The sequence below is a fragment of the Homo sapiens genome, chromosome 3 (genome assembly GCF_000001405.40).
Source record: "Homo sapiens chromosome 3, GRCh38.p14 Primary Assembly".
Classification (NCBI taxonomy): domain Eukaryota; kingdom Metazoa; phylum Chordata; class Mammalia; order Primates; family Hominidae; genus Homo; species Homo sapiens.
Window position 1 is genome coordinate 13072637 of NC_000003.12, and position 23857 is coordinate 13096493.

The 23857-nt window shown below is 54.5% G+C and overlaps 1 protein-coding gene across 12 annotated transcripts in view, besides 9 other annotated features; it reads right to left on the reverse strand.

The window, feature by feature from the left end:
- Positions 1–23857, reverse strand: part of IQSEC1 (IQ motif and Sec7 domain ArfGEF 1) — a 386215-nt gene that overhangs the window by 175594 nt on the left and 186764 nt on the right. For 6 of the 12 annotated variants that reach the window (XM_047449358.1, XM_047449357.1, NM_001134382.3 and 3 more), the window contains exon 1: positions 356–793. The exons of the other annotated variants lie outside the window; for them this stretch is intronic. In XM_047449358.1, coding sequence (XP_047305314.1) covers positions 356–378 — 23 coding nt within the window. In that variant the 5' untranslated portion in view covers positions 379–793. Of the gene's footprint in view, positions 1–355; positions 794–23857 lie in introns of those variants that run through there. 12 annotated transcript variants of the gene reach the window in all.
- Positions 709–868: a silencer, noted in NCBI's record as "silent region_14081". NCBI's record gives its function as "represses an Ori minimal core promoter by ATAC-STARR-seq in GM12878 lymphoblastoid cells {active_cell/tissue: GM12878}" and the evidence as "EXISTENCE:reporter gene assay evidence [ECO:0000049][PMID:35858748]".
- Positions 989–1168: a silencer, noted in NCBI's record as "silent region_14082". NCBI's record gives its function as "represses an Ori minimal core promoter by ATAC-STARR-seq in GM12878 lymphoblastoid cells {active_cell/tissue: GM12878}" and the evidence as "EXISTENCE:reporter gene assay evidence [ECO:0000049][PMID:35858748]".
- Positions 7545–8046: an enhancer, noted in NCBI's record as "H3K4me1 hESC enhancer chr3:13121681-13122182 (GRCh37/hg19 assembly coordinates)". NCBI's record gives its function as "activates a minimal SCP1, AML or CMV promoter by ChIP-STARR-seq in primed H9 embryonic stem cells {active_cell/tissue: H9 hESC(primed)}" and the evidence as "EXISTENCE:reporter gene assay evidence [ECO:0000049][PMID:30033119]".
- Positions 8047–8546: an enhancer, noted in NCBI's record as "H3K4me1 hESC enhancer chr3:13122183-13122682 (GRCh37/hg19 assembly coordinates)". NCBI's record gives its function as "activates a minimal SCP1, AML or CMV promoter by ChIP-STARR-seq in primed H9 embryonic stem cells {active_cell/tissue: H9 hESC(primed)}" and the evidence as "EXISTENCE:reporter gene assay evidence [ECO:0000049][PMID:30033119]".
- Positions 11242–11311: a silencer, noted in NCBI's record as "silent region_14083". NCBI's record gives its function as "represses an Ori minimal core promoter by ATAC-STARR-seq in GM12878 lymphoblastoid cells {active_cell/tissue: GM12878}" and the evidence as "EXISTENCE:reporter gene assay evidence [ECO:0000049][PMID:35858748]".
- Positions 14787–14846: an enhancer, noted in NCBI's record as "active region_19481". NCBI's record gives its function as "activates an Ori minimal core promoter by ATAC-STARR-seq in GM12878 lymphoblastoid cells {active_cell/tissue: GM12878}" and the evidence as "EXISTENCE:reporter gene assay evidence [ECO:0000049][PMID:35858748]".
- Positions 14897–14986: an enhancer, noted in NCBI's record as "active region_19482". NCBI's record gives its function as "activates an Ori minimal core promoter by ATAC-STARR-seq in GM12878 lymphoblastoid cells {active_cell/tissue: GM12878}" and the evidence as "EXISTENCE:reporter gene assay evidence [ECO:0000049][PMID:35858748]".
- Positions 15007–15066: an enhancer, noted in NCBI's record as "active region_19483". NCBI's record gives its function as "activates an Ori minimal core promoter by ATAC-STARR-seq in GM12878 lymphoblastoid cells {active_cell/tissue: GM12878}" and the evidence as "EXISTENCE:reporter gene assay evidence [ECO:0000049][PMID:35858748]".
- Positions 15707–16206: an enhancer, noted in NCBI's record as "H3K4me1 hESC enhancer chr3:13129843-13130342 (GRCh37/hg19 assembly coordinates)". NCBI's record gives its function as "activates a minimal SCP1, AML or CMV promoter by ChIP-STARR-seq in naive and primed H9 embryonic stem cells {active_cell/tissue: H9 hESC(naive and primed)}" and the evidence as "EXISTENCE:reporter gene assay evidence [ECO:0000049][PMID:30033119]".

A 23857-nucleotide genomic window follows, 5' to 3' on the forward strand; every position in this document is an offset into this window, starting at 1 on the left:
GGCAGAGATTCTCTTCCTAAACAGGCTATGGGCTAAACCAAAGCCAAAACAGTAGGAGCCGGTCTGGGCACCCTGAATGTGGATCTGGGAGGGGGGATACCTGCTCTCACAGTTGGGAATTTCACAGCCTGCTGAAGACCTGCTGACTAATAGCCTTTTTCTCATCGTCATCACCAACAAACACCTCCGCTGCAGGGGCCGAGCGCCGGCATCCCTGCTGGGTGGCCAGCTCCCTCTGCAAGTCACCTGCACATCCACCTGCCCCTCCCCCAACGATGCCCCTCACTCCAGCTCCCAGCTCAGCCGGGCCCCTCTGGCCTCTGGCTTCAGGCAGAAACCTGCCACATATACTCACAAATAGCGTCTTCTGCAAGCCATCCTGTGTGAATCCGTTCTTCCCTGTTCTGGCTCCCTCTCCAGCGGGGAGGCTCAACGTGTTTCCAAGAGGAGCAGGCGGCTCAGGCAAGAAGTGGAGGGGAATAAAATTAAATCGCGGGGCGAGTCACATTCCCGGGGGTGGCGGGCTCCTCCAGGGAGGCTGGGGCGGGAGCGGGGGGCGGCGCCAGCAGCGGGCTGTGGAGGGCCCTGGCACGTAGCGCGCGCTCACACCGTGCCCAGGAGCGAGCGAGGACGTCGAGTAACCGTGGTCGCCAGGCTGGGCGGGGGCGTCCACCTCGCTGCTACCTGGGCCCACCTTGGGGTTTTTCCCTCCCGTCCATCCGGGGTGCGGGGCGCGGGGATGAGGAGGGGAGGGTCGAGAGAAGGCTGCCCCGGGTTTGCTCTCGCAGCATCCGGAGAAGGGGCGGGCGCGCCGGAGCCTCCCCCACCCCCCGCGCCCAAGGAGCAACGTAGTGCGGCCGCGCCGGACCAATCGCCGAGGCGCTGGTCGCCATGGCAACAGCAGCATCAGGCGCGGCCGCTCGGCTGCGCCCTCGCGGCAAAGTCACACACCCGGCGGGGCGCGGGGCGCCGGCCCCTTCCTGGCCCGCGCTGGAAACCTGGAAGTCTGTTGCTAAAATGCACGCGCCGCGCGGAGCCTACGATGACACTACTTTCCAAGGCGGCTTTTCTGCCTTCGGCACTGAGACACGCGAGCCGCGGAGCTCTCGGGGCTCTGGCCCTGGAGTGAGGCCGGCCGACTCCAAGGCTGTCTCTGCCACTGAAGGGCGATGAGACCTTGGCAAGCCGCGTCTCTCCTGGGAGTCTTGATTATGCTACTGTGAAAGGGATCATAACAGCTATACCACGGGGTTCCAGGAGGGCGCACCACGCCAGTAGCTGCACGGTGGATGGCAGAGCAGTCCTCGTTTGTGCCAGTCCTGTCCCAAAGGGGGCTGCACGTGGCTAGGGAGAATTTCTGGTCTAGCTATGGTGCCTCTTCCTCTCCCGAGGACCTTCCATGTGCCGGGCAAGTATCTGCCCTCATGATGTTTACAGTCTAAGGGGAAGCCAGGAAGTAAGTGTGCAGATATAGGATTGCACGTGGTGATAAGGATCAGGATGAAAAGAGAGCAGGAAGAGGGGAGGCAGGGACCCCAAGAGAGGCGGGAAGGAGGCTTCTGCCATCAGACGGGGTGGTCGGGAAGGCCCTCTGTGAGGCACGTGTGGCTGAGACTCGGATGACGCAAGAAGCAGGGGAGGAGCTGGCGTCAAGGCTCTGAGGCGGAAGGCAGCCTGGTGTATTTGACTGGCCCAGAGGAGGCCAGCGTGGTGCAGTGTGCGACAGGGAGGTGGAGGGGAGAAGCGCACATCCATCCTCGGCTCCCACACCCGCCTTTCCCACACAGATTTCTCTCTTCCTGTCTGATGTTCATCTGATCCTCTCTGCTTCCTCATCTGTAAACCAGGAATCCCAGACCTATCTCAGAGGCATGTAGATAATATTCTTCCGTGCACGGTAATCCTCAAGACAACCCCAATGAGGCCTAATACTATCATCCTACTTCACGGGGGAGCGCATTAAAGCCAGAGGTTCAGCAACTGGCCCAAGCCACATAGCTGGCGGGCAGTCTGGCTCCAGAGTCTTGGTTCTTGACTGCTTGAAAGCTGCCTCACTGGGAGGAATAAATGAGAGAGGGAGTAGTTGAGACTGGGAATCGGCTGGATGTGGATGGCAGCCCACAGGGCCATTTCCCTTCCTCTTTCCATTCTCTCCAGATTCACACTCACCGAATTTAGAAGGAGTGATGCTGCATCCTTGAGTTCCATTCCATCCTTTACAGGGGAGGAAATGAACCTCAGGGGGTGAGCGATTTGCCTAAAGTTGCACAGCAAAGAGTGGCAGAGGTGGGACTAGGACCCCAGTCTTCCAGCTCAGTGTCCTGGTAGGGAGCAGAGGTTGGAGCTGCGGCCTCAGGTGGCCAAGGTGAGGCATCGAACAGAACTGCATGACGCTTCCCGATCTGCCCTCTCCAGGTGAATCCATATGCATGACCAATCTTCCTGTAGCACGGACCTCCCTCCCTGAGTCATGTGAGGAATTCATATTTCTGTGGGTTAACATGTTGCAGAGCCCACCCCACCCCTCTCCTCACTGGAGTTTCAAAAGATTTTAATAACATCAAAATTCAGCCACTGCATCAGGAGGGCTCACTTTGTGTCAGGTCCAGTTGTTTCATGGTCTCAGTGAATTCTCAGAAGCGCCCTACGAAGTGAACATAATTACCACTCCTGCTTAGATGGGTTGCACCACATACGGGGGTCTCCCATCAAGGCAGCAGCAGAGCCCAGACTAACTCACAGCCTGGCTCGGGCTAGAGCAATGCCCCTCTCAGCCGCCTTGCTCAACTAGCGATTCTCTTCTCACTTCCATCTTCCAGAGGCGGAAACAGGCTCAGAGTGGTGAATTGGATGCCTTGAGTGTGGAGCACCCAGTGTCCCTTTCCTGGGCTTCCTCTTTTGCTCCCTGGGAGGCCCATGACATGCATCTGCACATCCGTTGCTTCTTCAGCACTTCTTCTTATAAACGTACTCTCCTTTTCCTTCCATGTTATGCTGTTATTTCAAAGCAGAGGAAATGGCAAGGACCCTGGCATTCAGATACAAATGCCAAGATTTTAGGCTTTTACAAAACATCATTTACAGGGCACGTGGGTAGTGCCTACAACCCACCTGCACTGGCGCGGTTTTGATTTCTGACATTCAATATCCAGCGCCGGACCAGGCACAGAGGAGGCTCCAAAAAGCGTGGAGCTGGGATTCCGACTCTGATCTCTGACTACGGAACCCACAAGTTCATCCCTTCAGGCAGTGAGAGGTCAGAGAGTCTCAGAAAAGGGGCGCGCCCACCTGTGCAGGCTGAGCTTCACCTACCTCATGACCCCAAGCCCTCGACATCCAATCTCAGGGCAGATTTGTCAGCCACACCTCCCAGATGCAAAGCCTGTGGTCGTGAGAGGGTCCTGATCACATAAGAAGTGGAGCTACAGAACTCTGGATGGAATTGTCCACTTTCCTCACTTTCGCAGTTGTAACCAGATGTCTGGAGTGGGAAGCAGGGGCAGCCAGCCTTGGGGTTGCTGCCCTGTGACCCTGGTTATATCACAGAATCATCCACCCACTCACCCACCTCTGCAGGCTGGAGACTAAGGCACAGTGGGAACCTAGCATTCAGACAGCGTTTTCATCCCCTGGAGTTTCTGTAAGTGCCCAAGTTCACCCCTGCCCTTGCCTCATCATTGTGGACTGTGGGAAGCCGCTTGGATCAGAAGGTGAGAGCAGCTGCCAAGGGGTAAGTCCAGAAACATCTCACATCCATCTCCCTTCCCTCAACGGGAAAATTTCCACCCTGCAGGCTGGCAGGAACATTCCTGCAGATCGGCTCACTCCTGCAACCTGCGGCCATCTGTCCCCAAGGTGGGAGGAACATGACAGCATTTGGGAAGAGGGAGGACGGAGAAGGTTGGAGCATGCAGTCCACAGATCTGACAGTCACAGAGCTCTTCAAGGCAGGGAGCCCCGAATCCCAGGGATTCAGGATCTTCATCCAGGGCTGGGCAGAAGTGAACCCCCCACCCCCGCTGCTCCGTTCCAACTGTGGAACTGCAAAGCCGTCAACACTCTGACTCTAAATCTCAGGACCACACAGTCTTCAAGTCTGGGGACTTTATTTTCTTTTAGCTGAAGCTTCACATTTTAAAGAAATGAAATCCTAACTGCACAAATGATAAGAAAATGTATTCTCTTTAAACAAAATAAAGCCCCCTTTACCTCCCACCCTCCTAAATCTTATTCCCCGTTCCAATCTCTGCAGAGGTGACCGCTGTCATCTGTTTGGAGTGGATCCTTCCAGAACTTTTTCTATGCATTTATCTACATATATATGCCTATAGAAAATAGGAAGTATTACATAGACCCTAAAAAAAATGGCATCATTTTACAAATTTCTTTCTTTCTTTTTTTTTTTTTTTAAAGACAAGGTCTCACTATGCTGCCCAGGCTGGAGTGCAGTGGCTTTCACGGGAGCAACCATAGCACACTACAGCCTCAAACTCCTGGGCTCAGCGATCTTCCTGCCTTAGCCTGGGACTATAGGCATGCACCACCAAACCCAGAATATTAAGAATTTTTTAATAAAAGATTTAAAATGTGCCAAAAGGCATAAAGATGAATACCGTGAACTCTGATATACCCCTGACCCACTACAAGAAACAGAACATGACGAATATGATGGAAGCCCAGGGTCACCACCTCTGTTAAATCCCCTCGCCAGCCCTGCCCTCCTCCCATCCCCATGGTGAATTCACTCTGTAGTGAATCTCCTGCATAGAGAGGTATCCACAAACCATATAAACACTTGTGCACGTTTTTAAACTTTACATAAGTAGGATCACATTGCATATCTTTTTCTGCAACTCTTTCCCCACTCGGCATTATGTCTGGAAGACTGAATCATGGAATCTCTAAACCACAGACTCTTCCATGCTGAGTTCCCAAATCACAGGCTTTTCTAATCATAGACATGGGCTCGGGCTCTGGTGCTGGGAGGACCTCGCTGGCAGGCTCGTGCAGGGCCCTCCTAACATCTCTGCCCAGCCCCACCCCTCACGTGCAGGTGGCTGACGGAGGGAGGAAGCAGCCGGAAGCAATTATCTCTGGAAATGTGTGTGGGCTTCTGGAAGCCTGGCAAACACCTCCCTCTGCAGCAAACCAAGTATCACTGAGGTGCCCTGTCCCCTGTCTTGGGGGAGAAGATCAGACCCTGGCCCTATAACAGTTGAGCAGCAGTCCTTGATATGCTCCTGAAATGGAGCACATCCACTGCTTCTCGATGCTATTTTGGAGTCCTGGCTGATGGAGATCTGAAAGCCACGAGGGCTGGCATCGGTCCCCACTTGCCGCCTTGCCAGGTTTGCTGCTGACTGTGCCAAGGACGGCCGTGGCCAATGGAGCCTGCTGGGGCCGCGGATGAGTGAGGGAGCTGTGGCCCTGCAGACACTCCCTGCAGGAGCTCACGCTGCACGGGGCCACGCTGGCTGGAGGAAGGGGGCGTGGGAGACAGATGCTGCTTGAGATGCTTCGGCTGCTGCAGGACTCAAGAGTCCTGCTCCCCTGGGGAGAGAACCAGTGAACACATGAGCAGAGGGCACCTAGAGCAGCCCCTGTGCTTCTAAGCCTCTACTCAGGAGCCTGTGAGAGGCCCCTGAAGGATGCAGGGCGGTGTAATGTGAGCGAGAGAAGGCATCATTAAAAAGTGGTGGCCAATGGCAGGACAGGATGGAGCAGCCACAGACACTAAATCAGAGATGCTGGGCCCCTGCGTGCAGAGACAGAGCCCCAGGATGTGGGCTCCCTCCCGCACCCAACGGCTGCCATACCCCTCCTTTCTCCCCTCAAACCCTGCACCTCTCAGCAGGCAGTGTAGCCTGGGGGGGAAGGCCAGGAGCCTCCTCTGCCACCAGCTATGGGATTTTGGAAGGGGACCCCACTGCAGCCCTTCATCTAGATGCCGGGATTAACAGGGCATCTATGTCCACCTGCAGGTGAGAGCTGCGTGAGTGCACACAAGTGGAGCAGTCAGACCAGGGCCCATCCAGCTGCGTGCTCTGCTGGTGTTTGCTTTGCTGTTGCAGTTGTTTTAGAGCCAGGGCAGCTGGAGAGTTCACAGGAGGGACATTCATGGGGCGCTGGAGCCGGAGGTCTGGGCTGGGCAGGGCTGGTGCCTCCCTCTCCCAGCTGCCCCAGGGGGTTCTTCCAAGCCTGGCGTACCTTGTGCCAACCGCCCTTCTGCCCCTACTTCTCACCCTTCCTGTGTTCATATTGGCCTAATATGTTTATCTCAATTTAAAATAATTTTCACTAAAGCAGATCTTTTCTATCAGTATTGTAAATTGTGCATTCCACGTGCTAGTCACTTTCCTCCACCAATAAACATTCAAAGAAGTACGATTTAGAGAGAAGCACTGCTCTCCTGAGGCCCTCACAAGGCCCTGGGTGTCCCAACCTGGCAACTCCTGCACTGATGTTGGGGTGCCAGACAGGATAGGTGCAGAGCAGGGCCGGGCCTGTGGAGGCTGAGTCAGCACAGATGTGCACGTGGAGTTGGGCTGTGTGTAGGGCGGAGGGACCGGCAAGCATAGGCCACTGGCTGCCTGGCCCCATCCCTGTGGCCCTGAGCCTTCCTAAACCTCACGCTCCATCTGCCCAGTCCTGCATCCGTAAGTGCTGACCAATGCTTGCTTTGGGTCAGACCCAGGCCAGGCATGGGAAACAAGGTGAGCCAAGGCCCCATTTCCTGCCTGGAGGAAGGGAGCAGCATGCCTTGGGCGGTGGTGGACACCCAGCAAATTTCCTGCCCAGCCACTTGCCTCCTTCTGGTTGCCGCTTCTTTAATCTCTGGGACTCTGGGGGAGCCAGGACCAGGGCATGACTCAAGCAGGGCTGTGAGAGGCAGGCCCAGAGGTTTGCCAGTGTCGTGGAGACAGAGAACATCCCACCTTGGACCTGAGCTTACCCCTGAGAGATAGAGGCCCCTTCTTTACTGGGGCCCCCATGGGGAGGAGCCTGCATGAGAGGCTGCAGGTTCTCATCACCGGAGCCCTGGGCCAGCCACACCTGAAACCTGGAGGTTATGCCGCCCATATGTCCATTTTACATGAGCCAGTTTGAAGCGGGCTCACTGTCACACAGAACCAAACGTTCTAATGCAAGTACCTTGTAATAGTCACAATACTGAGCGAACATGATCACAGTTATAATATGGTAGAACTGACTGTTTCGATGGAAATGTAGATCAAATAATACTATGTAAGATGAGGGAAGGAGGGGCAAGGTTTTTGAGAAAAAGAGATATAGCAAGGAAAAACAGAAGTTTCCTGGAGGACAAGATGTTGAAACAGAGTCTTGAAGGGTGGCCAGAAGCTTGTTAGGCAGACAGTGCATGGAAAGGTATTGCTTGCAGATGGAACAACATGTGCAGAGGCTTGGAGGTGAAAAGCAGCAGAAAGTCATGAGACAACCTGCCAGGGGTTTGGGCTTCATTATGCGGGTAATGGCATTCCAGGAGGTTTCTGAGTAGAGGAGGGACATGGTGAGGTTTGTGATTAAATAGATCCCCTCATGGGGGAAGGATTAGTGGGGAGAGATTAGAGGCTGGGATACCAGAGGAGAGGTTGGGATGGTGAGTCTGGAGGGAAGAGGTGGAGGCCTGCACTGAGGCATGAGAGTGGGGATGCAGAGAACAGGTGTTTTGGGAGAAGTGTGGGTGGGAGAGGAGAGATGGGGTGGGGACAAGGCATCCACCTGCTCGTCGACTGGGTGGATGGTGGCACCCTTTGTCTATACAGGGACACAGGCAGAGATGCAGGGTGGAGGGAGATATAACCCCTGCCCCCTTGTGAGGTGCCAGGGAGACCCCTGGGGAAGAGTCCAGGAGGCTTTGAGCGTCTGGCTGGAGGCTCAGCCCTGCAGGAGAAGAGAGGAGAGAGTGTGAGGGGTGAAGAGAGGTCAGACAGAGCCCTGGGGACATGGACATTTAAGGGAACAGCAAAAGCCGCTGCAGGGGTGGGAAGAAACCCAGCAGGCATCCTTACCCACAGCTGCCCACCTACCCTCCAACGGCCACTTCCCTGGGCAAGTGCGCTCCCTCCCTGCCTCAGCCTCAGCCTGGGAACTGGGCTGTGCTCCCCAGCCCCCGCCCTGCCGCTGTTCCAGGGGATCTGCCGTCTGTCCTGTCCCGCCACAGTGACTCAGGCCCTGCCCTCCTCCCCGGGGATCTGAGCTAATACAAGAACAACATTCTTAGTAAAAAAGAATCCAAAATAAGGGCTAAGCTTTATGCTCAAAGAAGTTCTTCACAGCATTATTTATAACAACAATAAACAAGCTAAAAGCTCAAACAAATGTTAAGGTAAATGTCCAATATTGGGAGCTGGCTAAAAATGCAAGGTTTCTGCATACAGTGGGATATTATACAGCCTTTAAAAGAGATGTTTACAATGTTTGGGAATAACCTTGATGACTGCGTAAAAAAAAGCAGCTTATATAAGTGCATAGTCAGTATGAATATAACAGCGTGTCCATAACACACAACTAGAAAAACATCTGGAAGGACACACAGACATGCCACCAATAAAAGTTGGCATCTCTGGGTGGCAGAATAACTGGTCAGCTTTATTTATTCCTTCAACTTTATTGATTTACTTTTGTTTTAGAGACAGGATCTTGCTCTGTTGCCCAGTCTGGAGTACAGTGGCACAATCACAGCTCACAGAAGCCTCAAACTCCTAGGCTCAAGCAATCCTCCCACCTCGGCCTTCCAAAGTTCTGGGACTTCAGGAACATGCCACTACATCTGGCTAATTTTTAAATCGTTTATAGAGATAGGGTCTCCCTTTGGCACCTGGGCTGGTCTCAAGCTCCTGGCACCAATGGATCCTCCCACCTCGGCCTCCCAAAGTGTTAGGATTATAGGCATGAGCCACCATGCCTGGCCTCAATTTTCTTTATTTTTCAAAGTTTCTACAACAGGCTTAACAATATATAAAAAAGTAAAATATATTACTACAAAAATTTTTCAGTCATCTAAAAATCACTGAAAACACCAATGAACTAATTCTAAAAGGGAGAGGAGGCTGGGATTCTGCAGGGACCAGTGCACGGGGTGGAGTCGGATGTGGGTTTGAAGCTGGCTCCGACACCGCCTGGCCCAGTGACCTTGGGCGGGTCTTCGCTCCTCTCTGAGCCTGCTTTCCCTCTCTAAGAATCTATTCTGGTCCTCCCGTTCACAGAGGGTTGACGTGAATACCAAATGACTGAATGCACTTGATGTGCTAAAGGAGTGGGTGCTGCATGACAGGTGCTCGACAAAGGCGACCAAAGACTGCAGGGGTCGGTAGAGTGGGGTGAATGAGAGCAGGGCCACCGGGCAGCACGAGGGGTGCAGGCTGTGCACTACCCAACTCCATGGGTGCAGCTCCTTTATCCTTGAGTGGAAGCAGTGGCCCCCGAGTCGCGCAGGGCAGCAGCGTGTGGTCATGTGGTCTCTGGAGTGCTGCATCCCAGCTCTGTCACCTACTAGCTGTGTGACCTTGGGCAGATCTCCAAAACTGAGGATAATAAGGGAATCAACGTGTCGGTCGGTTGTGACAGTCTGATGATCTAATGTGTGCAGGTGCTAATCACAGCAAATGGCTGCCGAGTGCTTATCATCACCCTGCACACCGCTGGGCACACACAGTCTCACCACCCCTGACTCTCTTTTTATCCCCGACAAAGGGCAGTTAAGCTTCTTCTGCAGTTCCCTCAGGTCAGGGCTGGGGAGGAAGGCGCAGGCCTGGACCGCTACAATGGCTGGGGTGCTGAAGTCAGAGTGAGACCAGCCTCTCAGCTGGCCTGGTACCCAGCGGGCATTCTCTATGGGCTTTCACACTGAGCACTGCATGGCCATAGGGCCCAGGTGCCCACCTGGCCAGCCTGGAGGTCAGAGGCAGGAGCTCTCTGCCTTGTCAGTCACTGGGCTCTCAGCATCTCCTTGCAAGTTTGGCTGCCATGCTGGGCCCCTTCCTGCCTCCCTTCTTACTGTTCTAAACCACCCCTAGCCCCGCACTGGGAAGGATCTATTTAACCTGAAACCTGACCATGTCGTAGCTCTGGTTCCAACCCAGTGCTGGTCACCCTTGGCTCTCGGAGACCTGTGCGGACGCCTCCCCCTGCCCCTCCTGACCTTCATCTTCCTTTCCGGCCATGCCCCGACTCATGCCACTCCAGCCAAGGGGCCCACTGTCAGCCCCCCACTCCCAAGCTCTTCCCGGCCCCAGGGCCTTTGCACGACTGCCACCCTCATTGGGAATGCTCTTCCTCCCACACTCACTGCTGGCTCCTTCTTGTGGCTCCAGGCACGGCAGAGTGTCTATTCCTGCCCCGCCAGCTCCCTCACAGTCGTCGACCTGAGAAGGGACTCTGTAATAATTACACACTGGTTTACTATCATGTGACCACCTCCCCCACTGGAATGTGAGCCTGGTGGGGGCAAGGACAATGTCTGTCAGTCACTGCTTTATCCCCTGTGCCTGATAACTTGCAGGTGCTCAATTAATGCCCGTGGACTGAACAAGTTGGCAGCTGAGTGACACTAGTGTTCAAGGAGAGAGAGGACCTACGTGCCTACCCTGTCTCCCATTAATGCAGATGGGGGCTGAGAGAAGGTGGCAGTTCTCACATTCTCCCAGGATCTGAGTCCCTGCCTCAGTCACTCACTGGTCCTTCACCCACTGAGAGGCAGTGTGGCAGCAGATAACAACCGTGGAGTCAAGAAGACGGGGCTTCAAATTCCAGCTCTGCCACTCACCTGCTGTGTGACCCTGGGCAAACGACTCAGCCTCTCTGGGCCTCTTCCTCTTCCTACTCTGAACAATGGGGTGGCACATTTGGCTTGCTGGATAAGTGTACCTGGGAGGGTACTCTGACTGGGTGTGCATTTCCCACTGCACAAATGCCCATCCCAGACTGGCTGAAAGCAGAGGCCTCGGGGCCTGCGTTGCAGTCAGAAGCCTGGCCTGTGGCCGCAGGGTCTCTAGGCAGCCTTGCTAGATGCTTCATCTGGAGAACAGGCATGAAATGGTGTCTCCTCCAAGAGCTGTGGAGAATAAATGAGGGGACACATGTCCCGTGCATAGCTGGGACGGCACCTGGCATACAGAGTGTCAGCGACCTGAGGATGAGATCTCGCTCCACTTTCTCCTTGTCTCCCCAGCACCTTGTGCGCAGCCTGGCATGGAGCCGAGCTCAGCGACTATTTGTTGAGTGAATATCTCTCGGTCCCCACTTCATGCCAGAGTCCTGCCCTGGAGGAGTACGCGGTTTTCCAGTGAGAGAGCCTTCCCCCCATCCCCTAGCCTTCCCCAGGGAGGTGAGGGGAAGGGGTGGACTGAGGGGAGGGCGGAAGGCCATATGTACCAGGGGCTCCAAGCGCATGGCTGAGTTCATGCCTCCTGCAGGGTCTCTGTTCCTCTTCTGGTGGTTTCTAGGGTGGGGTGGAAGGTAGAAAAAGAAGAGAACTCAGCTGGTCCCAGCTGTGGTGGGGGTTGTGGGTTTTTCCAGCTCAGGTGGGGTTTTCAGAGGGCAGCTGCACCTGACGACCTGGGGCCTGGCTAAGTAAGGCGTGGGGCACACGGCAGGTCACCCAGCCCAAGGAACGGGCATCACTACATAGGTGGTGTGGAGTCTGGGGCCCCCAAAGCTCCTTCCACACCCCACATCCCCCCTGACATACTCAGCTCAAAGCCTGTGTCCGGATGCTCTTTCTGGCCTGGCAACATCCCAGGGGGTAGCCTGTTCATTCATTCATCCAAACTTTACTGAGCACCTACTGTGTGCCAGACAGTTTTAGGCACCAGGACTTAGCAGTGAATAAGACAGATATAAAAATCTGCCTCGTGGGGCTGACCGTCCAGTGGAGGAGACGGACATCAGATGATGACGGGTGCCATGATGGCCCTGGGCACTCTGATGGCAGAAACAGTGTCAACAGCATCTGCCAGTCCCATTCTCCTGCCTGCCATTCCAGATGCCTAAGCCTAGAACTCTGGGATGGGCAGAACTGAGGACAGGGGAGATGGGCCCAGCTTCAGGCTCTGAACCGACTCAGCTCACCAGAAGTCACTGGTACAAAGCGGTTTCCCAGGATCATTGGCCGTAGTAACCAAGATCTATGCCCAGAACTGGGGAGGCGATAGTCTTCCCAGTCCTGCTCAGACCCTGTCTGGGTCTCAAGCTCAGCTCTGGTTCCTGCCCTGAGAAAGTGATAAGGGCAGCCTGGGCTATGATTAGAGGGAGTGTATGGGATGCAAAAGGCCTGAAAATGTCACCAACAAGAAGAAACAGCCTCGGGGTGGGGTGGGGGGGCAATTCTAGCCCCCAAGTCCTTGGGTAGGGTTGTCCTCGGACAGAAAAACAGGTTGTTGGGCTCAGAGGCCATAGATAGGACCCTCGAACAAAGAGGAACAGGGAAGAGTGCTAGCATTTATCGAACTCCCGCTTATTACGACATCTCCTCGGATGCCCCAAACAGCCATATGAAGAAAGCTATTACTGAGTCCATTTTACAGATGAGGAAACTGATGCTCAGAGACACAAAGAGACCTGCTCTGTGTCACTCAGCCAGCACAGAACTGAACCGACCAGAGCAGCCCCAGTAGCAGCAAGGGTGATGTTAGGAGGATGCTGACTTCAGCTCTGGTCGGGGCAAGCACCCTTATCAGAGCTGCCTGGTGAGAGAGTGAGATCCTTGTCATGGGAACTGTGCAAGCAGAGGGGTCACGTGGAGGGCGGGGCTTCATGGCAGACAGGAACCCTTCAGTGCGTAGGGTCACCTTCAATACTCGTTCAATCCTGGGATTCTGACGTAAGAAGGATAGTGTGTTTAAGGACCAGAAAACTAGGCCTCCGTGACGGCAGCCCTGCCAGCAGAGCCTGCAGGAGACGGGGTGTCCAGCTGCAGCCAGGTGGGTCCTTGCTGGAGTGAGCACCCACGGTTGACAACAGCTCCCCCTTCATAGCCTCTTTCCAGTTTTACAGGCTAGTGGTTGTGACAGAATAGCCGTTACCAAAGTGAACCCCTTGAAGCCTTCAGGCCCACGTGCTGTTACCCCATTTCACAGACGGACAGGAGGCCCGAGGCCACGTCTTGGACTTCCGTCTGAGACTCGTCGCTGGCCTGAGGGGCATGTGGTTATCGGCCAATGCGAGGCTCTCGAGGCTGCCCAGGCCCTTCCTGCGGGGAACACAGACATAGTGTCTTCACCTCTCTCTTCAGACAGTCCTCACCTGCAGGTGGCTGTCACCCGCTATCCTTACCCAGGGAGGGAATTTGGAAGGTGGCTCCACGCGGCCCCTCTGCTTGCACACTTCTCCTCTACCCCCAGTCTGGCTGGTAACTTGGGCCGCCGCAGGGCTGGCGCTGGAGGACTGAGGTTGCTGGTCACCCAGACTAGAGAGACTGTTTTGGGGCAGAGTGAGGTAGGCAGCTGAGGACACAGCAGGCATGGATGCTGCCCTCAGACCTCAGCTCAGATTCTGATCACCGCTTGCCTGCTGTATGACCCTGGGCAAGGGGCTGCTGACTCTGAGTCTTAGTTCCTATATGGAAAATGGGAAAGGCAGATTCCTTACCCAGAATGGACAGACTGAGGAGGGTGACAGGAGATGATGCCGGTTTGTGCCCACCGTGGCGGGGATGACACAGCACATGCTCAGTGAGGGCTGCTTGTCACCATCATCATGACAGCACTGTTGGCCTTGGAAAGCCTACCTCAGTCTCCATGCTGGTTCAGCGCTGGGAGATGGGTGTGGAAGAAACTGGCACACAGAGCCACCTGCAGGGCTGGGAACCAGCGGGCGTCTTTTTCCTGGGAGGGTCAGGGCCTTTCTTCACCCTGGTTGGAGCCACTGCCTATTTCTGTATTGCGGTGTATCGTGGTAAATGCAAATCAGACCCATCCCGCCAGCTTCCCACTGCACTCAGAACCGAAAGCCTGGTTCTGCCCCACAGTTCTGCCACCCCGCACCTGCCTGCTCCCTTCCATGAGAGCCTCGTTCCTGCCTCAGGGCCTTTGCATCTGCTGTTCCCTCCCTCAGCTCTCTGCACAGCTCTCTCTTCAGGTCTCAGCTTAGCAATCACCTGCAAGGGAGGCCTTCCTGAGCACCCTTGAAGAAGTAGCCCCCAGGCACTGTCTCCTCACCCAGTTTACTTCCTCTAGGCCATTTACAGGCATCCTGTTTAATTGTTCTTTCTCAACATCTGTCTTCTCTCAAGAAAATATCCTGTCCACAAGGCAGGGTCACCCCCTGTCTTGGTTATCGTGGCATCCCCCAGTGCACTGAATGGGGCCTGGCACACAGCAGGTGCTAATAAATGTTTGCCAACCAAACGAATGAATGACCTCAAGCCACACTCCCTCATTCACCCCCAGCTGGTTCAGGGGATCGTGGGTGCCACACTGTAGCTCTACTTATTTCACATGCCACACCCTTTGAAGGTTTGGTGAAAATCCCACCCCAGACAACATTCTTCCTACAGTCTAAATCTACACTGGGTAATTACTTTCAAATCCACACTAATAATAGGTCTTGTGATTACAGTTTATTTGCTGCGACTTTAGTTAATGGGCTGGATGGAATATTTGCATCTAGAAAGTTCCCCTGATGTTTTAAAGAGCTCCCAAATTCATCCACCAAAAGGAAGAGAAATAGCAAGAAAGAATAACTCAGAGAACTGCATTGTTGCCTCTTGGTGCAGGAGAGGCTCTCGGTGCAGAAAGAGCCCCAGAGTGTGTGCAGGAGGTCTGCAGACAAGCCCCTTCGCTTCTCTCAGCCTCAGTCTCCTCATCTGCAAAATGGGTTGGTAAACCTGGCTGGCAGGGGAGGAGACCGTGAATCAATCCCAAACCTTGACAGCCGTGATGACTTTGCAATTTGCTAAGAGCCTCTGCACCACTATCCCAGTCATGTTTTTCTTTTAACTATTTTTAGTTAAATGCATTTGAAAGGGAGTTTTTCTTTCACTACCACAAACGGAAAACCAGGATCACTTGCTGTCTTCGTCTATTTTGTGCTGCTGTAACAGAATATCTGAGACTGGGTAGTTATAAATGTATTACTCACAGAGACTTATTGCTCAGTTCTGGAGGCTGGGAAGTCTAAGGTCAAGGGGCTTGCACCTGGCAAGGGCCACCCTGCTGCATCCTCCCGTGGCAGAAGGTGGAAGGGCCAAAGAGCACTACGGAGGGATGGGGGCCGAACTTATCCTGTTTATCAGGGCCCGCTCCCAGGACAACTACCCCACTTCTGAGTTAACATGAACCCCTCCTGGCCCAACCCCTTCTTCAAGGCCCCAACCCTCACCGCTGCTGCCCTGGGGACTAACTTCCCAATGCATGAACTTTGGGGGACAAATTGAAACCACAGCACTAGAGCACAGTCCCCCCACCCTGTCTAACACAGCCCCTCCCTGTTTCTCTTCTCTGGTGCCTGGTGTTCTGTGACCCACTGATCACTTTGTGTGTTTACCATCTGTTTCTCACACTGGATTAGTTTCATGTCTGTCCCGTAACTGCTGAGTCCCCAGGGCTTAAAGCAGGGCAGCGTGCTAACGCAGTGGGTGGCGAAGGAACAGATGAAAGTGGAGGGGGAAGAGGAACTGCTGGCCATTCGTGCATGTGCTCACCCAGCACCTGCATGCTGACGACGCCCTCGCTTGACCTCTGCTCACTGCAGGGCTGAGGTCCAGATACCTCCACCACATCTATGAGAGCACAAGCTTAGTATGCCGAGGCCCACCAGCTTCCCGAAGCCTGCTCCTCCCCACTCCTGCTCTCTCCAGGCCCCCACCCACTCACTCTCACTCCTCCCAGCCTCCACACCCCTCCCTGGTTCCTGTCGCCCTCCCCGCTCCTCTGAATGGCCTTAGTACCCTCCCTACCCTCCTTGATTCAGCTCTCAGCCAGACCAATCCTTTGGCTGAACCTACATGAGACCATGGCCCTCTTCTGCTCAGTACCCTCCCGGGGACCCCACCCCACTCAGAATAAAAACCCCAATCCTTGCCATGATCCACAGGCCCTGCTTTACCCCCTGGGCCTTATTTATCCTCCTCCTAACTCTGCCTCGGGCACACTGGCCTGTTGCAGTTTCTCCAGCTCCAGCTCCAGGCTCTCCTGCCCCAGGGCCTTTGCATGTGTCATGCTTTTTGCCCAGGGGGATATTCAAAATATTTAACACAGGCACTGGCCCCCACCACTCCAAAACACCTCCTGCTAGGCTAAGTATTAACTCCTTTATTGCAGATCCTAGGGACATCTGAAGAGGGCCAGGAGAAGGGCTGGACAGAGACAGCAGCAGTGGGAGCCCCTCTGGGGGTCCAGACAGTGGGCTTTAACCCAGGGGCATGAAAAGATTTCAGTATTGTAACGACAGGTGTGTAACCGCTGGACATATGCCCTGACTTGGCCTGGCCCACTCCTCTCCTATTGGCCAGGAGGCCCCCTTGGGCCCCTCCCCAAAATACACTGCCACACCCCATCCTGGCCTTTTACTTTAGCACTTGTCACTATAAAACCACACAGCCCTAAAATATAAACAACCCAAGTGTGCATCAACAGATGATGGATAAACAATGCGATCTGTCCATACTATGAAACATTATTTAGCCATAAAAAGAAATAAAATTTGGGGAGCACTAGCCCATGCCTGTAATATCAACACTTTGGGAGGCTGAGGCTGGAGAATTACTTGAGCCCAGGAGTTTGATACCATACTGGGCAACACAGTGAGACTCAGTCTCTACAGAAAAAATTTTTTTTTAATTAGCCAGGTGTGGTGGTGCACACCTGTAGTCCCAGCTACTTAGGAGGCTGAGGTGGGAGGATCCCTTGAGCCCAGGAGGTCAAGGCTTCAGTGAGCTGTGTTTGTGCCACTGCACTCCAGCCTGGGTGACAGAATGAGACCCTGTCTCAAAAAAATTGTTTTTAAAGAAATGAAGTACCGATATATGTGGCAACATGGATAAACCTTGGAAACATGATGCTAAGTTAAAGAAGCCAGACACAAAAGGACACATCTTCTATGATTCGAATGGTGTGAAATGTCCAGAACAGGCAAATCCATAGAGGTAGAAAGCAGATGAGTGGCTGCCAGGGAATGGGAGGAGGCCTAGGGAGTATGTGGACGGCTGCGAATGGGTATGGAGTTTCTGCCTGGAGTGATGAAAATGTTTTAAAACCTATTGTGGGGATGGTTGTGCAACTCAGTGAATTTACTAGAAAGCATTGAATTGTACACTTTTAAAAACACTGTATATTTTAGGCCGGGCACGGTGGCTCACGCCTGTAATCCCAGCACTTTGGGAGGCCAAGGCGGGTGGATCACGAGGTCAGGAGATCCAGACCATCCTGGCTAACACGGTGAAACCCCGTCTCCACTAAAAAATACAAAAAATATTAGCGGGGTGTGGTGGCGTGCACCTGTAGTCCCAGCTACTCGGGAGGCTGAGGCAGGAGAATGGCGTGAACCTGGGAGGCGGAGCTTGCAGTGAGCCAAGATCGCGCCACTGCGCTCCAGCCTGGGTGACGGAGCAAGACTCTGTCTCAAAAAAAATAAAACAACAAAAACAAACTACTGTATATTTTAAATTTCTATATTCTATATTTTGGTTTGTTTCCCTACTGTTAGCACGCTAGCTTCATGAAGGTAAGGATTTTTGTCTGTTTTATTCACTATACTCTAGTGCCTGGAATACCACCGGTATTTAATAAAATGTGAAATGAGTGACTGAATGAGTGAGTGGATGTATGAATGAATGATTGCAATCTGAGCTCAAGGTGCTGCTCCCCAGTGAGTCCCAGCACTCAGGCACACCCCCATCCCGTGTTGCACCTCTCTGTGTCCATGTGTGCCACCCACTGGCTGCAAGTCCCCCACAGGACATGCTCATGGAGTCTGTGGGGTGATTGGTGACAGGCCTGGTGCAGGGGCAGGTCCTGGTAGAGGTAGGCCCCACGCTGGGCTGAGAGACTCTACAGCCCACCACATCCCGAGAGCCCCTTCTCCCTCCCCACAGCCTGGTGTTGATTTAAAGGGACTTTGCTGGGCTTCTGCCATGTGCCAGGTGCTCTGCTGGGCCTGAGGAGGCACACTAAGGGGACCTGGCACCCTGTGACTCGTATGAGCTCCGTAGAGATTTTAGACTTCGATCCTTGAGCTCAGAAGGACCTCAGCCGGGGACACTCAGGCACAGACAGGCTGAGAATGGAACCCGGGTATCCACAGTTCCCTTGACCAAAAGCCCTGTGCGGAATTTGAACCCCAGCCGCGGGGACAGCACTGGAAGACTGCACGGAGCTGCCTGACCAGCCAGGAGGAAGATTAATTTGGATTTGGCTGGCCTGGCCTCCTCCTCACCGCCCACACTCCTCTGCCCTGATGACCCATTCTGTGCTCGGTTTCTACGGCCTTCTCCCAGAGAGGTTTGTAAAGACTTCTCGTCACTCCGGTCTTGACTCAGTGGACACTCTCTCAGGGAGGGCTCCTGCCCACCTCTGTCCTGCACTCCCTACGCCATCGCTCACTCAGGTGCATGCCTTGACCCCGTCACCACTCTCCGAGGGCAGCAGCATCGGTCTCTCTGCCAGGCTGCTGGTTGCTGTCCTCCTTCCTCATTGGCATACAGACTCCAGGAGGCCAGGGGAGTCTGTTTTATTCACTGAAGCAGGCTCAAGCCATAGACCGTGCCTGGCACATAGCAGATGCTCAAAAAATATTTGCCGAATGAATGAGGGAGTTTGTTTACAGGACAGATGCTGGAATGAGACCCAGGACAGTGTTGCTGGGCCTTTGACTTGGGCTTGGGCCTACTGAAACCCATGCATCTTTTCTCCCATCTCTTCCCCTGGCCTCCTGGCCTCCCTGCCCTCCCTGAGCACAGCCCTCCTTTGTGACTACTGCAGGAGCAGGGGCTGGGGTGTGAAAGGACCCAGAAGCCCAGGTGGGACGGGCCCACAATGCTCCCAGGAAGCCCGACTTGGCTGTGCCTCAGCCTTGCCCCCGCTGACCTGTCTGTTCACCCCAGCTGTTCCTATGACCAGGCCCTTGTCAGCCCTCCCTCTGTATTCAGGGAAACTGAGAGGTGCCTGAAGCTCCAACATAAAAAACAAAGACACAGGCAGGCAGAGGACACGTGTGGCACATTTGGGGAGTCTTCAGGGGTTTTCCTAGGAAAGCCACATCCTCTGTGGAAGCCTAGACTGTTCAGGCTTCCTCCCAGGTCTCCTCTTTGGTCTGGGAGGGCAGCTTGGGTGGGGTCGGGGTGGGCAGGACCTGGAGGCGCTGGAGCAGGGCAGTCATGGGGGAGGTGGTCAGTGTCCCCAGGCCCCCCAGGCAGTTCTAAGGGCCTGTGCATGGTCGAGGCCAGGAGGAAGCTAAGCACAGCTCTTTCTGGGGTCAAGCTACCCTGCACTGCGCGGGGTCAATTGCCCTGCACTGTGCAGGGTCAGAACTGACTGCATCAAAAGGGGCTAGTGAGATGCCTGTGCCTAGGGCTAAGCAAGCCAGCAGGGACATACCAGGCAGGAGAAGAAGACCTTGTGAGCTTCTGCCAGCTCTGAGGACACCGTATCACGGGGGTGTTTCCATAAAGTGCTCAGGGAAGTAAGTTCTGGGGTTAGTACAGCTCAAAGGCGCTAGGTGTAATGCTCAGAAGTTCCAGCAGAGGGCAGCGCGCGGCTGCTGCAAAGTCCTGCAAAGAGATACCTGCAAAACACGCCCCGGCTGACCACGGACGTCCCAGAACGCTGTTGACCTGGCTCCTTCCCAGGCCTGCCCAGGCCTCATTCCCTGGCCACATGTCCTCTCCCCATCTGGGTTAGGCTAAAATAATCCCAGGAACTGAGATGCTGCCAAGAAGACACAACACAGAGACAGGACCCTAAGGACCAGGAGCAGCGCGTGCCTGGGTGCTGGGGGCCTCTCTGAGACGGCGACATTTAAGCCAAGAGCTAAATAATGGGAGAAGTCAATTTTAGCCCCTAACCCGAATTATTTCTGTTCCCTCACCAGAACAATCTCAATGGTGTCTCCTCTATCAACCCCTCTGATGGTGGCCTCTTCGCGTAAAACAGTCCACCAACATTCAGGCCCTGCGCTCTCTGGCCCCACCCACCTTGCAGGGTTCCTGTCCCAGTGCCAGCCCCTCCTCACTCTGCTCCAGGCACGCTGGCCAACTTTCCATCTCCAAGGCCGAACTTCTTCGAGTCCCGGGGCCTTTGCCCTTGCTGTTCCCTCTGCCGCGAGCACTCTTCCCCCTCCCGTAGCCGGCTCCTCCCATTATTTAGCTCTTGGCTCAGAGAGGCCCCCAGCACCCAGGCACAAGCTGCTCCTAGTCCTCAGGGTCCTATCTCTGTGTTGTGTCTTCTTGGCAACATCTCAGTACTTGGGATTATTTTAGCCTAACCCAGGTAACAAGTGACTAAATCACATCTCGGTGGCTCCACACAGGTCCTGCCCCTGCCCAGGGCACAGTCTGTGGTTTCACCAACTCCAGCTGGGGAGGCGAGAGGATACAGAGAGGCATTAAGAGCAAATAAACAAACTCACTTATAAAGGAGACATCGTCCCTCAGCCAGAGCCTCAGCCCCATACCTGACAAGACTAATCGGGCTCAAGGACGGAAGGAGACCTGGGGCCTCCATCCCAGCCCTGCCTGCTGCAGGGATGCATGCTCCTCCAGCATCCCAGGCGGTGCCATCTGAGCCCCAGCACCTTCAGTGATGCAGAGTTTATGTCCTCACCGGGCCCCAGGGGAGACCATTAGGAAGCTTCCTCCACAGGAGGAGCTGGGCTCCACCTCCTGCCATGCGCAGACGAGGGGCTTCATCCAAGTAACTGGTCCCTGTGGCTCAGGGCAGGAACTGGGGAGGCAGGGCTGCCTCCTCCCCAAGCTCAGGGGATGCCACGAGGGAGGAGGTTATTCAGTGTGATTCCTACGTGTGTCCCCTTCATCCAGCACATGGGGTGTGTGGCAAACCCTGGACAAGGGGACACAAGACGCATGCAGCTACAGCCTGGCGGCAGGATCAGGCCCGAGCACTGATGACGACTGAGGCATACACAGTTGGATCCACTGTCTGGCATCCAGCCCCTCTTATCCCTGAACCTCCTCCCCACTGTTGGTCCACGTGACTCCGCTAGGTCTCCCCCTGTCCGTTCTCAGCACCCTCTAGGTCCAGGGATGTGCACGTGATCCAGCCTGGCCAATCAGAGCATAAATCCCTCTGTTCTTCATAGTGATTGGCTTAGAGATGGGCTTGTAACCTGAGTCAGGCCAATGAGAGTCAGCCCTGGCGCTTTTGCAGATCTGAAAAAGAGACCTCTTCCGGCTGGGGCCACTGAACTAACTGGCTGTGAGCCTGGGGTTCCTGGTGCCTATCGTGTTATACTGTAAGAGCAAACCTTCCCAAGAATGAAGAAACAGGGCTGAGGGATGAAGAGAGAGAGAGAACCGTGACATCCGATCAGGGTCCTCACTGATACACCGATGGTAGCAGGTGGCACCTCGTATCACAGTGGAGAAGCCGGTGCTGTGGGAGTTCTAGGATGGAAGGCACTTGTGGCAGGGAGATCATGGAAGAGGCAGGGACTGCATCAGGCCTTGAAGGATGAGAAAGTTAACACAGGAAGATGAGTGATCAGGCATTCCAGATGGAAGGCGAAGGCAAGGCTTGCAGGGGCTGACCTTGAAAAGAAGGATTTCACTTCCACCCCTCTCCCGGAGCCACCTGGAAGTCCCATCCCTGCTCTAGACTCCCTCCCCCAATCATATACAAAACACAAACCACAGAGGCTGGCGAGATGCAGAGTGATGTCTGAGCCCCTTTAATTTTGTTCCTTTTTGTCAGGAAGATCTGTGTCCACTCAACCTCTCTCTCCTCCTGACACCCCCCACCTGGTGCCAGACCCTGCACTAAGTACTGTTCGTGGATCAGCCTGTGAGACTGCTTCCACCATTCCCCTCATAATACAGTTGTGGAAACTGAGGACAGATAAATCAGGAGTATGGCCTGTTCCTGGCCATACTACTGGACAGAGGGCTGCAGGGCTCAAACTCAGGCTGACAGGCTCCAGCAGCCACGAGCTCCGGGATCTTCTCCCACTGAGCACGGTGTGACCTGCCGAGAGCACCTGACCCTTCTGGGCCTCCACTGGGAATTCAGGGAAGATCAATAGTTGAGTTCAATTGTTACCTCCCCAGGCAAGGGATACATTTCGATGGACCATGGACACAGACTGAACCAGCTGCAGGCCACACGCTGAGAGAGGAGCCCAGCAAGTGCTCCTAAGCTTGTGGCTGTGGCTGCGGTTTTGTTCGGTGGTGATCATGACCATTTGTTGGAGCCACACCTGGGCAAACGCTATTGCACCGAGAGCCCCCCTCCTCTCCACCTTGCTTCTGGTTTACTGCAGTTTAATAACAATGCTCCACAAGTCAACCAGCCCAAGAATCTACCTCCATCTCTGCCTGTGGGTGGACCCCAGGCTGCGATGTGTAGTCTGGTCCACAGTATACACTGTCTTTCCCAGAGGTGAGCCTGGCATGGTCCCCGTCGTTCCTGAAGGCCCCAGGGAGTTGGAAAGGTGTGGTCAATCCCCGACCCCCACCTCCCAGGGCATCTCTGAGGAACCTGTGAAAAATGCACATTCTCGGGTCTACCCAGACCTCCCAAGCAGAAACCCTGAGGTGGGGCCCAGCCATCTGGGATTTAACCAGCCTTGGCGATGCTGGTGTGCGCTCCTTTAGGGAAGTGCTGGCTTCGTGGAAACAGCAGCACCGGGGGCTGATGGACAGAGCTAAGAACATTTGAGACATGTGTTTCCTACTTAATGCATACCCAGCGCCTCCTCAGAGGCCGAGTTGCTTCCTGCTCAGTGATAATCATTGCCACTCCCCCCTCCTTTCCCAGCCATCTGGGGCCTTTTCCGCCACTCCATGACACTGGGTGGCTCGGTGGGGACGCTGAGGACGCAATCACCAGCCTTTTAGGAACTGGCGCTTGTAAAAGAGGTGGGGACGTCCTTCCTCAGAGGATGCTGAGCACGCCTGTCGGGACGGGCAATTTGCAGAGGGCTCCAGATGCAGCAGGACAATGGAGGCTGATTGGCAGGGAGCGGGCGGGGCAGCTTTTATTCCACAGCCCCACGCAAAAGCGCTGAGCCAGCTGCAGAGGAGAGAGGCCTGGGAAGGATGAGGCTGAGGGAGGGGCGGCGAGATTCACGTGAGACCTCATGCATTCACTGATTTATTCACACATGCCTGCATTCCCTCATTTGGAAGGCATCATGATGGGGTGGGAAGAACCCTCTGAGTCGTCCAAGCTCCATGGCTTCAATCCTGGCTCCTGCACATCCTTGGTTCCTCCTGCCTCAGTATCCGCATCTGTGATCTGGGCTGCTATGAGGCAGAGAAAGGACCCCATGGGTGAAAATGCCCAGCACCCTCCCTGGCTCTTCATAGGTCCCAAGTGTAGACTCAGCTTTCCTATCCCCTCTTTTTCTTCTCATTCATTCAGACACGTATTGAGCACCTAGTGTGTACCAAGATCTGACCTGGGCAGTGGGAGGCACAGGTAAGACCTCCAGGCTACGCCCTAGCTCTTGGGGAGCTCACAGTCTTGGAGGTGGGGCATGTGGGGGACAGGCCTCTAAGTGATCTCAGGGCAGGGTCAGTGTTGTGAGAACCATCCATTCATTTATTCACTCATTCCTTTGCTTATTCACTCAACAAAATTTACTCTGTCACCATACACTGGGCCGTGTAGGGCACACGCCCTTCCCAGAAGGGATTCGCAGTCTAGCAAGAATCAAGTATTTGGGG